The 12,959-nt window shown below is 35.7% G+C and overlaps 1 pseudogene across 1 annotated transcript in view; it reads left to right on the top strand.

The window, feature by feature from the left end:
- DPY19L2P3 (DPY19L2 pseudogene 3) overlaps nt 1-12,959 on the top strand; it is a 57,468-nt pseudogene that overhangs the window by 8,914 nt on the left and 35,595 nt on the right. The window contains exons 4-5 of the transcript NR_158194.1: nt 501-558; nt 2,886-2,977. The product of NR_158194.1 is annotated as a DPY19L2 pseudogene 3, transcript variant 3 (transcript). The remainder of the gene's footprint in view (nt 1-500; nt 559-2,885; nt 2,978-12,959) is intronic.

Below are 12,959 nucleotides of genomic sequence, written 5' to 3' on the forward strand. Positions count from 1 at the left end.
GAGGCGAGTGGATCACGAGGCCAGGAGTTTGAGACCAGCTTGGCCAACATGGTGAATCCCCATCTCTACTAAAAGTAAAAAAATTAGCCGGGCATAGTGGCACACGCCTGTAATCCCAGATCCTTGGGAACCTGAGGCAGGAGAATCTTTGGAACCCAGGAGGCGGAGGTTGCAGTGAGTTGAGATTTCGCCACTGCACTCCAGCCTGGGCGACAGAGCAAGACCCCATCTCAAAAAAAATTTATGTTCACACCTTATGTATTTCATTTAGAAAGTATTTTAGCTATGATAAATTATAAAATTGAGATTACTTTATATGTACACCTTTTAGGATTGTACATTCAGGATTTAAACATCAACCACATGGGTATGGTTTAGTACTATTATGTTTTAAATATGATTTAAACTATGGTTTAAAATTCTGAGGTAATTTTGTGAAAAACTCACTATATTTTACATGAATTTTGATTGTATACTCTTATTATTATTATTTTTTACAGTGGGACTCAACTAGGAGGTCTTATTACAGTACTGTGCTGCTTTTTCAACCATGGAGAGGTTTGTTTTCTAGAAAGCAATTTTTAAGAAATAGAAGGGGTTTAGAGGAACAAAGAAATATACTCATTGAAACAATATATAATTGTATACTACTTATGACTTCACAGTATTTCAGAGACCCTCGTGTTATAAGTTGATATTTTAATCATGCTGATTGAAATGTTTAAATAGCTAGAATTTCAAACATGAAATCTCTTGCCTTATTTTTAGTAAATATATACATATACATATATTCTGTAGAGAAAAGGAAATACTGTACTTGTTGAGTTGAATCATGTCATGCACATTATCTGATTTATTCCCACTAAACTTTTTTTGTGGGTGGTGGTAGCCTCACCATACAAGTTATGAAATTTAAATTTAGAGAAAATTAAGTTACTTATCCACATTCTACATTTACTACATGATGAAGCTGGATTTCCCATTCTATGTCTGCCTCTAAAACCTCACATATATATTAATTTATATTTTATTAATTATAAAATTATAGTTATATTTTATAAAAACTTTTATATATTTTATATGTATAACATATATATTCAGCTTTTTTATTGTGGTAAGAATAAGTAACATGAGATCTGCCCTCTTAACAGATTTGTAAGTGTACAATACAGTGTTAACACAATGTTGTATAGCAGATCTCTAGAACTTATTTATCTTGACTAACTGAAACTTTGTATGCATTGCACTCCCCTTAACAATAATGAAAGAGGCCTCAGGCCTGACAGCAGGGACACGGTTAAGACACTGCCACCTGCTCCCTCACTTCTTTGTGTTACATCATGCTGTCTGTTCAGTAATGCAAAATGCTGAATTCAAAATAGACATTAACTTACTAATTCAGCCCAGTGAAACATAGTCCACCTAAAAAAGAGCCCATAGAAGCTTATTTCAAATATGATGGATACATTCAACAAAATATTGGTATATACCATGTCCATACTCTGTTAGATGCTGAGGATATGGCAATGAAAAAGAGAGAGATTCTGACTCCTAGCTCTTGGGAGCAAAATATTTAATATGTTATGACACAGGTTTCATAGGGTAGAAGTATTTTTTTTTTTCAAGATGGAGTCTTGCTCTGCCACCCAGGCTGGAGTGCCGTGGCATGATCTTGGCTCACTGCAACCTCTGCCTCCCGGGTTCAAGCAGTTCTCCTGCCTCAGCCTCCTGAGTAGCTGGGATTACAGGCATGTGCCACCATGCTCAGCTAAATTTTTGTGTTTTTAGTAGAGATGGGGTTTCACCATGTTGGCCAGGCTGGTCTCGAACTCCTGACCTCGTGATCCACCCGCCTTGGCCTCCCAAAGTACTGGGTATTACAGGCGTGAGCCACCATGCCCGGCCGGGGTAGAAGTACTTTTATCCATTGCTGTTGGGTTAATTTTTAAAAATCAGTTAGATAAAGGAATCATAAAAATTATACATAAAAGCCATATATATTATTTTAAAGCAAACAAATGCATTGACATTCAGCAATGTGCTGATTTAAAGACAAAGCTTTTTCTCTGAGTGTGCCAGACAACTGTTGGTATAAGTTGACTTTCTTTTATGTATCACAATTCCTCTTCTAACATTTACAATTTTGGTATCTTGGAAGAGGAGCAATAACTTTTAAGACTCTTGCAAAGTAATAAGAATTCACATTCTTTCTAGAATTTCAGAATTTTTGATGGAAAATTTTTCTAATACTCTGACCCATATGTCTTAGAAGTAATTTTAAAGTTTGTGTGAAAATTTAATACTTTTGTTACATGCATCACATTTGTAGTTCCCAAATACTTCTAGTTGTTTTTAAAATATATACTTAACCTTTTTTAAGGTACATTTTACAAAATCTGAGGCAATCTTAGCTATTTAAAGTGTGTATTTATATTCGTTCATACTTGTTACATAGAAACTCTCATGGTGCTTGCGAATGACCTAGGTGACATTTGTTTAGGTGTTTGTCTTGGCATGCATATATCCCAAAGCCTGGGATGCCAGGATCATGTGCCAGGATCATACTGCAGGGCTGGACTATGTATCTAGTTGGTCAGTCTCAGAATTCTCACAACTCTTATACGTACAATCTTGTTTGTCCCTTGGGTTTCATTTTGCTCGGTCTGATATATCTGTTGCTGGTTTCTGGACATGGTAGTTAATTGCTCTCTACTTAATGGCCTCATGCGTTAAGAGAGCTTCAAAAACTGAGAAGCTATGCCAGACACTCAGAAATGGGATCTAGTGAGCCTAGTATTGAAATTACGAAAAAAAACTCACCCCTGGTTTTTAAATATGTTTGTTGTAGTAAACATGATGTAAAGTGGGCATTTTGTTGATTTCAGGTCACTCGTGTGATGTGGACACCACCTCTCCGTGAAAGTTTTTCCTATCCATTTCTTGTACTTCAGATGTATATTTTAACTTTGATTCTCAGGTAACTTCGATTTATAAAACAAAGGCAAATAAATTATAATTTTAGTGTCTTAAAATATGCTTCAGTTCAGCACTTTGGGAGGCTGAGGTGGGCAGATCACTTGAGGTCAGGAGTTTGAGACCAGCCTGGCCAACATGGTGAAACCTTGTCTCTACTAAAATACAAAAGTTAGCCAGGCATGGTGGTGTGCATCTGTAATCCCAGCTACTTGGGAGGCTGAGGCAGGAGAATTGCTTGAACCCGGGAGGCAGAGGTTGCAGTGAGCCAAGATTGTGCCACTACACTCCAGCGTGGGCAACAGAGCGAGACTCCCTCTAAAAAAAATATGTAAATATATATATTATATATATATACTTCAACCTATGAAGTTGTAATTACCAAATTGACCATTTTTTAGTTATTTTAAAAGTAAATTGAGTATAGAGTTAAGAAAATAATTCAAAATTGCTACGTAAAAATTGCTCTCCATTTCAGAGTGTAGGCTACAGGTTTTAGATAACTACATTATATTTTAATAAACCAAAAGTTATGTGTTTGTATATAGTTTGCCAAGATTCAGAAGTTTTTGAGAAACAATTACATTTTCTCTTCAAAGTTTAGGTACCCTGACGTTGTTTTCTAACCTGTGGTTTTGATGAATGTGCCATGAAAAAAGTGTTCTGTGTGCAAACGAATTTGGGAAATGCGGAGTTAGATGGATAAAGAGTACATATATTCACATATTTATGAAGCATTTCTGAACAACCAATGTTTCTAACAGGACAACCAGTTTCATTTCAAACTTTTTTTTTGGATACACTTTTTTTGTAGGGATTACATTTATAAGCATTTTAGATATATAAGAGGTCTGAGAAATGAACAAAAAAAACTATATGTGGTAGAATAGTATAAATAGCCTTATCAGAGAAATAGATTTGATAGAATACTAATGAGAACTCTCACTGAATGAAATAATGATCACTATCTCCTCCAAACTCCCAGAGGACCCCATTCTTCACCTACTAGTCCCTGGCAGATTCTGCCTTATATAAAAATCATTTGTTTTTCTTCCTTGTTTTTTAAAACCGTAAATTTATGAATCATCCACACATACACAAATTTTTATTTATTTATTTCTTTAGAGATGAAGTCTTGCTCTGTCACCCAGGATGGAGTGCAGTGACATGATCGGCTCACTGCAACCTCTGCTTCCCGGGTTCAAGCGATTCTCCTGCCTCAGCCTCCCAAGTAGCTGGGATTACAGGTGCACACCACCACCCCCAGCTAGTTTTTGTATTTTTGGTAGAGACAGGGTTTTGCCATGTTGTCCAGGCTGGTCTTGAACTCCTGACCTCAAGTGATCCGCCCGCTTCGGCCTCCCAAAGTGCTGGGATTACAGGCGTGAGCCACTGTGCCCAGCCAATTATATGTATTTAAAAATACCACTGGAAACAGGGACCATGCCATATTTATCTCTTTAACCACAGAATACTGCACACGTCCATGCAAATATTTGTGGCACTCAGATAAAGCTAATTGAAGAGTGGTAAATAGTAGTGTACTGGAGTGGCACAAACCTTGAGGATGGAGCAGGCTAACTTCTGATTTCTTACCAACCTGACAAGTATATTCTGGGGTTGAATTTGGATTTAGGAACCTCCTCCTCATTCAGATTTCTATATCTTTGCTCTACACTTTGCCTTCTCTCAAAGATTAGGTGATGGAAGCTGACCATTCTTCATCACCCCTTGCTATTCATTCCCAGTTTAATTCCTAGGAAGGTGGGTTATTTTTATTTTTTTGAGGTGGTATCAGTCTGGTCAGTCAGGGCTTTCATGGAATAAAATGTCTTAATGAGAACATTTAGGGTTGTATCATTGAGTGCATGTGCTATACTCTGTATCTTAGTCAGAACTAATTTTTGTTTGAAAAATATAAGATTACAAAGTACATAATGAGTATTTTATGATAACATTAATAAACAATATGAACATTTAGAATTTTGTTTTTGAAAATTTATATACGATTGTACAAAGATTCATCAAAATCCAATACAGCATTTATAAAAGGAGCAGTTACAGTTTTATTATTTAGGTAATATGTTTGTGTTTCTTCTTTCTTATCTAAAAGTTACTATAATTCTCTGTGGTAAAAGGTATTCGTTCCCAATACATCTCAGTAATGCAGAATGGACAATTTAAACTTCCACATGCTTCAGCTGAATTCTAGAATGATTTTTTAATTTTTTAAGATTCTTTTTCCTTAAATTTTTCCCATAGTTGTTAACTTATTACTTTGTCAGCACTTACATTTCTCTTCAATGTTTTTTGAAACAGAAAAGTGGTGGTATATAAAAGTTGTTGCTACACATACACGAGAAGCATGTTGAGGTGTGCAGGGGCAGCGCCGTGTCCTATTTTCTGACCTCCTTGCTGGAGTATTAAATTTCTAATGTCATGCAGATGTAGAGGAAAACGAGCTTTTGTATTTAGAATATTTAATGGTAAATTACAATGTTATTTTTTTTTTCATGTAACAGTAACATTTTTATTTTATTTTTTTATTATTATTATACTTTTAAGTTTTAGGGTACATGTGCACAATGTGCAGGTTAGTTACATATGTATACATGTGCCATGCTGGTATGCTGCACCCATTAACTCGTCATGTAGCATTAGGTATATCTCCTAATGCTATCCCTCCCCACTCCCCCCACCCCACAACAGTCCCCAGAGTGTGATGTTCCCCTTCCTGTGTCCATGTGTTCTCATTGTTCAATTCCTATCTATGAGTGAGAACATGTGGTGTTTGGTTTTTTGTCCTTTCGATAGTTTACTGAGGATGATTATTTCCATTTTCATCCATGTCCCTACAAAGGACATGAACTCATCATTTTTTATGGCTGCATAGTATTCCATGGTGTATATGTGCCACATTTTCTTAATCCAGTCTATCATTGTTGGACATTTGGGTTGGTTCCAAGTCTTTGCTATTGTGAATAGTGCCGCAATAAACTTTATAGCAGCATGATTTATAGTCCTTTGGTTATATACCCAGTAATGGGATAGCTGGGTCAAATGGTATTTCTAGTTCTAGATCCCTGAGGAATCGCCACACTGACTTCCACAATGGTTGAACTAGTTTATGGTCCCACCAACAGTGTAAAAGTGTTCCTATTTCTCCACATCCTCTCCAGCACCTGTTGTTTCCTGACTTTTTAATGATTGCCATTCTACCTGGTGTGAGATGGTATCTCATTGTGGTTTTGATTTGCATTTCTCTGATGGCCAGTGATGATGAGCATTTTTTCATGTGTCTTTTGGCTGCATAAATGTCTTCTTTTGAGAAGTGTCTGTTAATATCCTTTGCCCACTTTTTGATGGGGTTGTTTGTTTTTTTCTTGTAAATTTGTTTGAGTTCATTGTAGATTCTGGATATTAGCCCTTTGTCAGATGAGTAGGTTGGGAAAATTTTCTCCCATTTTGTAGGTTGCCTGTTCACTCTGATGGTAGTTTCTTTTGCTTGTGCAGAAGCTCTTTAGTTTAATTAGATCCCATTTGTCAATTTTGGCTTTTGTTGCCATTGCTTTTGGTGTTTTAGACATGAAGTCCTTGCCCATGCCTATGTCCTGAATGGTAATGCCTAGGTTTTCTTCTAGGGTTTTTATGGTTTTGGGTCTAATGTTTAAGTCTTTAATCCATCTTGAATTAATTTTTGTATAAGGTGTAAGGAAGGGATCCAGTTTCAGCTTTCTACATATGGCTAGCCAGTTTTCCCAGCACCATTTATTAAATAGGGAATCCTTTCCCCATTGCTTATTTTTCTCAGGTTTGTCAAAGATCAGATAGTTGTAGATATGAGGCGTTATTTCTGAGGGCTCTGTTCTGTTCCATTGATCTATATCTCTGTTTTGGTACCAGTACCATGCTGTTTTGGTTACTGTAGCCTTGTAGTATAGTTTGAAGTCAGGTAGCGTGATGCCTCCAGCTTTGTTCTTTTGGCTTAGGATTGACTTAGCAATGGGGGCTCTTTTTTGGTACAATGTTATTTTTAAAACTCTAATTTTGATTGCTTCATGCAAGCCATGAAATATTGCAATTTCTTTTTAGTATACTTTAAAAAGTTAACTATATTTTGTTGTATTATAGTAAAGGTAATGGAATAATTTAGATTTTATCATTTTGCAAGTAGTCTTTCTTTTCAGTGACAGACTACTTTTAGGGTGAAACTTATTGGTATCACTTCTCTCTATTAAGGACCTCGAGCAATGATAGAAGGCCCTTCATTGCACTCTGTCTTTCCAATGTTGCTTTTATGCTTCCCTGGCAATTTGCTCAGTTTATACTTTTTACACAGGTAAGATGATTTTTTAAATTAATTTTTATTTTTATTTTAAGTTATGGGGTACATGTGCAGGATGTACAGCTTTGTTATGTAGGTAAATGTATGCCATGGTGGTTTTTGCATCTATCAACCCATCACTTAGGTATTAAGCCCAGCATGCATTAGCTATTTTTCCTAATGTTCTCCCCACCCCATCCCCCGACAGGCCCCAGTGTGTGTTGTTCCCCTCCCTGTGTCCATGTATTCTCATTGTTCAGCAACCACTTATAAGTGAGAACATGTGGTGTTTGGTTTTCTGTTCCTGTTGCTGAGGATAATGGCCTCCAGCTCCATCCATGTCCCTGCAAAGGACCTGATCTCATTCCTTTTTATGGCTGTGTAATATTCCATGGTGTATATGTACCACATTTTCTTTATCCAGTCTATCACTGATAGGCATTTGGGTTAATTCCATGTCTTTGCTATTATGAATAGTGCTGCAGTGAACACATGGGTGCATGTATCTTTGTAATAGAATGATTTATATTCCTTTGCATGTATTAATTAAATTGAATGCAAGATGTACTTGGTTGTTTCCATAGAAATTTTTAAATATGGTTACATTTATGCCCTAAAAGATTTTCAAAATAGGGAATAAAGTTTACTTAAAGGTATGATTTTTATGAAATAATGTAATTCCACATTCTTTTACTGTATTGATTAGTTGACAGATTTTAAGGCTCAACATGTGAAAGAGTTTTTCTATTATTTTTATTCACAAATGTTATTTTTGGTGTTTGAGATAATATCTGTATATATCTACCTATAGATTTTCCTTTTGTCCTGGGAATCATTCTGGGTGCCAAGCTACACAGCATGCTAAGGGCCAATCCTACTCTTCACAGCAGGAAGTTCTGCTGCTAATCCAGCTAAATGTTGGCTGTTTTGTCTGTGGAGCAGAATTTTTCCTGGCACCATTTCTGTGAGCTTTAATCATAAAGCTCATCATTCCTTAAGTGAGCTGAGCCTACATCCTGTTTCCAAAGCAACTATGTAACTAGTACCAAGAAACTGAATTGGGGAAGCAGAGAGTAAATGGAGAATTTTGATGAAATTTCATGATACTAAGATTTTTCCATCAGAGCTCCTGCCTGCATAACAAATACTGATGATAATAACAATATTCTATATTGGAAGTGAGAAATTCTGCCAAGAAGTCTCATGCTGCCAGTAGCCTACAAAGAACGAAATTATAACCCCAGCTCAATTGGTGCTGCATGTTTAAAGTATTCCCTCTGTTTTACTTCATGATAGTTGGCCCCTTTCAGGTTATAACACGGACATTTTTCTATGGTTTTCATTATTTGCACATGCCAACAGAGTAGAATAGATTTTTAACGAGCATCACTTCATTGCAAGCAAATTTATTAATCCAGTGGTACTGATGAAACTAAGGAGCTCTTTGGGGTCAGGCTCGATGGCTCACGCCTGTAATTCTTGCACTTTGGGAGGCTGAGGCGGGTGGATCACAAGGTCAGGAGTTCAAGACCAGCCTGGCCAAGATGGTGAAACCCTGTCTTTACTAAAAATACAAAAAAATTAGCCGGGCATGGTGGCGGGTGCCTGTAATCTCAGCTACTCGGGAGGCTGAGGCAGAGAATTGCTTGAACCGAGGGGGAGGCGGAGGTTGCAGTAAACCAAGATCGCACCACTGCACTCCAGCCTAGGTGATAGAGCGAGACTCAGTTAAAAAAAAAAAAAAGAAGAAGAAGAAGCAGCTATTGGGTAAGTTTGATATTGCTGTGATGATTTTCTAGCCATTCTCTGCATATATACTAGGCTTTTATTTTTCTTTACTAATGTATATAGTTTTGTTTGTATGTGTGCATTTCATGCTTACAGAGGAATAATTCAATGTTATTTGTTATTTTCTGGGAGTACTTTAAGATTTTATTCTTAATTGTGTTTTTCATAGATTAAGGTTAAAATTAGTTCATTGTGCCACCACACCTGGCTAATTTTTTAATTTTTTGTAAAGATGAGGTATCACCGTCTTGCCCAGGCTGCTCTTGAACTCCTGGGTTCAAGCAGTCCTCCTATCTTGGCCTCCCAAAATGCTGGGATTATAGGCGTGAGCCACCATGCCTGGCCCAATTTTTTTTTATGACTTCTGTGCTCTCCTGGAATTTTCAATCCTATCAGTTACTTCCTTGAACATTGGAAGCAAAACTAAAGACATATCTGATTATGCCAGACAAGTGTTTGAGTGATCTCCAAGCTAAGAATAGTTTTTATATATTTAAAGGGTTATAGAACAAAAATAGAAAAAGAATATACAAGAGACTGTGTGTGACCAACAAAGCATAACATATTTATTATCTGGCCTTTTATATAACAAATGTGCTAATCACTGATCTAAATCTTTTGTGGATCTATTTCTATTGTGTTAGTGATAGTGTCTTATCTCCATCTATGCTGGGTTATTTTTGATTTGGTGCTGGACATTATACATGAAAAATTGGAGAGGCGAGTAAAAAGCACTAATAAATCTTGAACCACCTTCATGCAATCAGATTGAGATGATCCGCAGATGGGTTTCAGTCTTTCTCAGGGCTGCTTGATTTCTGGTTCACTATTATAGTATGGCCTTTCGAAACTCCAAACTAAAGCACCCTTCTTGGTGCACTCTGACTGCTGAATCTGCTGAAATGCCTGCTCAGCTTGTTGGTCTCCCAACTGCCTCTCAGCTGGCAGGTATCTGCCTCTGTTGAAATTGGCAGATACCTCTGGGAGAAAAGTGGCCCAAAATGTCATGCTCATCGGTATAGATTGCCATCTATCTTTTAAATTCCTCATTTGTTTTGTTAATAATCTGTGGCTTTTATACATATTTTTAAAATATTTTTATTTATATATTTATATTTTTCCTAGCCATTCTAGTTCTTAGTGGGAAGGTTGGTTCAAATTCCTTTGCTTACCATTATTAGAACTGTAGCCCTCCTCTTATATTTATTTTGCCTGTGAATAGTAAAGTGTTAGTTTTCTATATTTTTTTACTTTTGCTTTTTTATATTATTTCAGATAGCATCATTATTTCCCATGTATGTTGTGGGATACATTAAACCAAGCAAATTTCAGAAGATCAGTTATCTGAACATGGTAACATTTTTAATTTATGTAAGTCAAATATTAAGATAGGTTCTCAGAGTTTATAAAATCGAAGCGATTCTGTTTTATAGGGTACCTCCTCTTTGGTAATATTTAATACATATGGTATTGGTGATATATAGAAGGAAAACTGGAAATGTATATTATACATGTCATATTATAACAGATTATACTTTCAACTAGACTGTATATGTGTTTTACTGTCTAAAACTTTTGTTTTTATGTTTTACTTATTACTACTTTTAAAACTGCCTTTTCTTTCTCAGACATGAGATTTTTAGCATTTTGCCTGAATATGACACTCTAACTGAAATTTTATATTCTTGCAATTTTGTTTTTGGCTTAGGTCCCAAACATAGCTTCCTTAAAAACATAAAAAGTTAGTAAAGCTTCGTTCTATTTCATTAATAAGATATAAGGCTATTTGTGTTATCCATTTCCTCTTGAGTGAACTTTGGTTGTATCTTTCAAGGAATTTTTAAATTTTATTTATGATGTCAAAGGCATAATATTTTCTTTCTTTATGTATCTATAGTATCTGTAGTGATAGTTCCTCTTCCATTCCTGGTATTAGATGTTTGTGTTCTATTTTTTTTTTCTGATCAGTCTGGTTAGAGGTATATCAATTTTATTAATTTTCTCAAGGAACCAACTTTTGGTTTCATTGATTTGCTCTATTGTTTTTGTTTTCTGTTTCATTGAGTTCTACTCGATCTTTATTACCTCATTTCTTCTGCTTACTTTGGGTTTTGATCTTTTTTTCTAGGTTTTTTTTAAAAAAGGTATAAAGCAAAGTCATTGACTTGAGACCTTTCTTGTTTCTTTTTTTTTTTTTTAAACACAGGTGTTTAGTGCTATAAACTTTTCTCAAAGTACTGCTTTATCAGCATCCCACATATTTTGATAAAGTGCATTTTTAAATTTATTTCATGTTATTGTCATACATTTTACTTAAACATATGAAATAGAAATCTCAATAAATTTGTTTTTATTTAAACAGTAAATTACCTTTTAAAAATAATTAAAACTTTTAAAATGTTGTATATTTACCCCATAGTTACAATTCTCAGTGCCCTTTACTTGTGTACAGCCAGATTGACCTACTGTATTCCTGCTGTCTGAAAGACCTCCTTTAACATTTCTTTTAGTGCAAATCACCTGGTCATGAAGTCTTTATTTTGCCTTCATTTTTGAAAGGTATGTTTCCTGGGTGTAGAATTGCAGGTTAACAGCAATTTTCTTTATGAGATACCATCTCACACCAGTTAGAATGGCAATCATTAAAAAGTCAGGAAACAACAGGTGCTGGAGAGGATGTGGAGAAATAGGAACACTTTTACACTGTTGGTGGGACTGTAAACTAGTTCAACCATTGTAGAAGTCAGTGTGACGATTCCTCAGGGATCTAGAACTAGAAATACCATTTGACCCAGCCATCCCATTACTGGGTATATACCCAAAGGACTATAAATCATGCTGCTATAAAGACACATGCACACGTATGTTTATTGTGGCACTATTCACAATAGCAAAGACTTGGAACCAACCCAAATGTCCAACAATGATAGACTGGATTAAGAAAATGTGGCACATATACACCATGAAATACTATGCAGCCATAAAAAATGATGAGTTCATATCCTTTGTAGGGACATGGATGAAATTGGAAATCATCATTCTCAGTAAACTATTGCAAGGACAAAAAACCAAACACCACATGTTCTCACTCATAGGTGGGAATTGAACAATGAGAACACATGGACACAGGAAGGGGAACATCACACTCTGGGGACTGTTGTGGGGTGGGGGGAGTGGGGAGGGATAGCATTAGGAGATATACCTAATGCTACATGACGAGTTAATGGGTGCAGCACACCAGCATGGCACATGTATACATATGTAACTAACCTGCACATTGTGCACATTTACCCTAAAACTTGAAGTATAATAATAATAAAATAAAATAAAATAAAAAGAATTTAAAAGATGCTGCTTGACTTGTCTTGTTTGCATTTTTTTCTTATGAAATCTGTTGACATCCCTATGCTTTTGTCTGTAAATAATATGTTACTTCTCTAGCTGTTCCCAGCTAGAGATAAGATTTTCTGTTTACCACTGATTTTGAGCAGTTTGTTTATATAATGTGCCTTACTATAGCTTTCTTCATGTTTCTTGTATTTAGGATTCATTGAAATGAATCCTAGATCATTAGATCTTTAGGTTTACAATTTTTATCAAATTTGGAAAAATTTTGGCTATTATTTCTTCAAATTTTTTCTGCCTCCCCCCTCACTTTCATTTAGGGACTCTCATTAAATGCATATTGGGCTGTTTGAAAATGTTCAGTGGTTCATGGAGCCTATGTTTATTTTTGTTCTTTATTTAATTTTGGATAGTTACTATTGCTGTGTCTTCAGGAGTTCACTGGTTGTTTTTCTGCAGTATCTAACCTGTTGTTAATCACATCCAGTGTATTTCTCATTTAAGTCATTGTAGTTTTCATATCTAAAAG

The sequence above is a fragment of the Homo sapiens genome, chromosome 7 (genome assembly GCF_000001405.40).
Source record: "Homo sapiens chromosome 7, GRCh38.p14 Primary Assembly".
Classification (NCBI taxonomy): domain Eukaryota; kingdom Metazoa; phylum Chordata; class Mammalia; order Primates; family Hominidae; genus Homo; species Homo sapiens.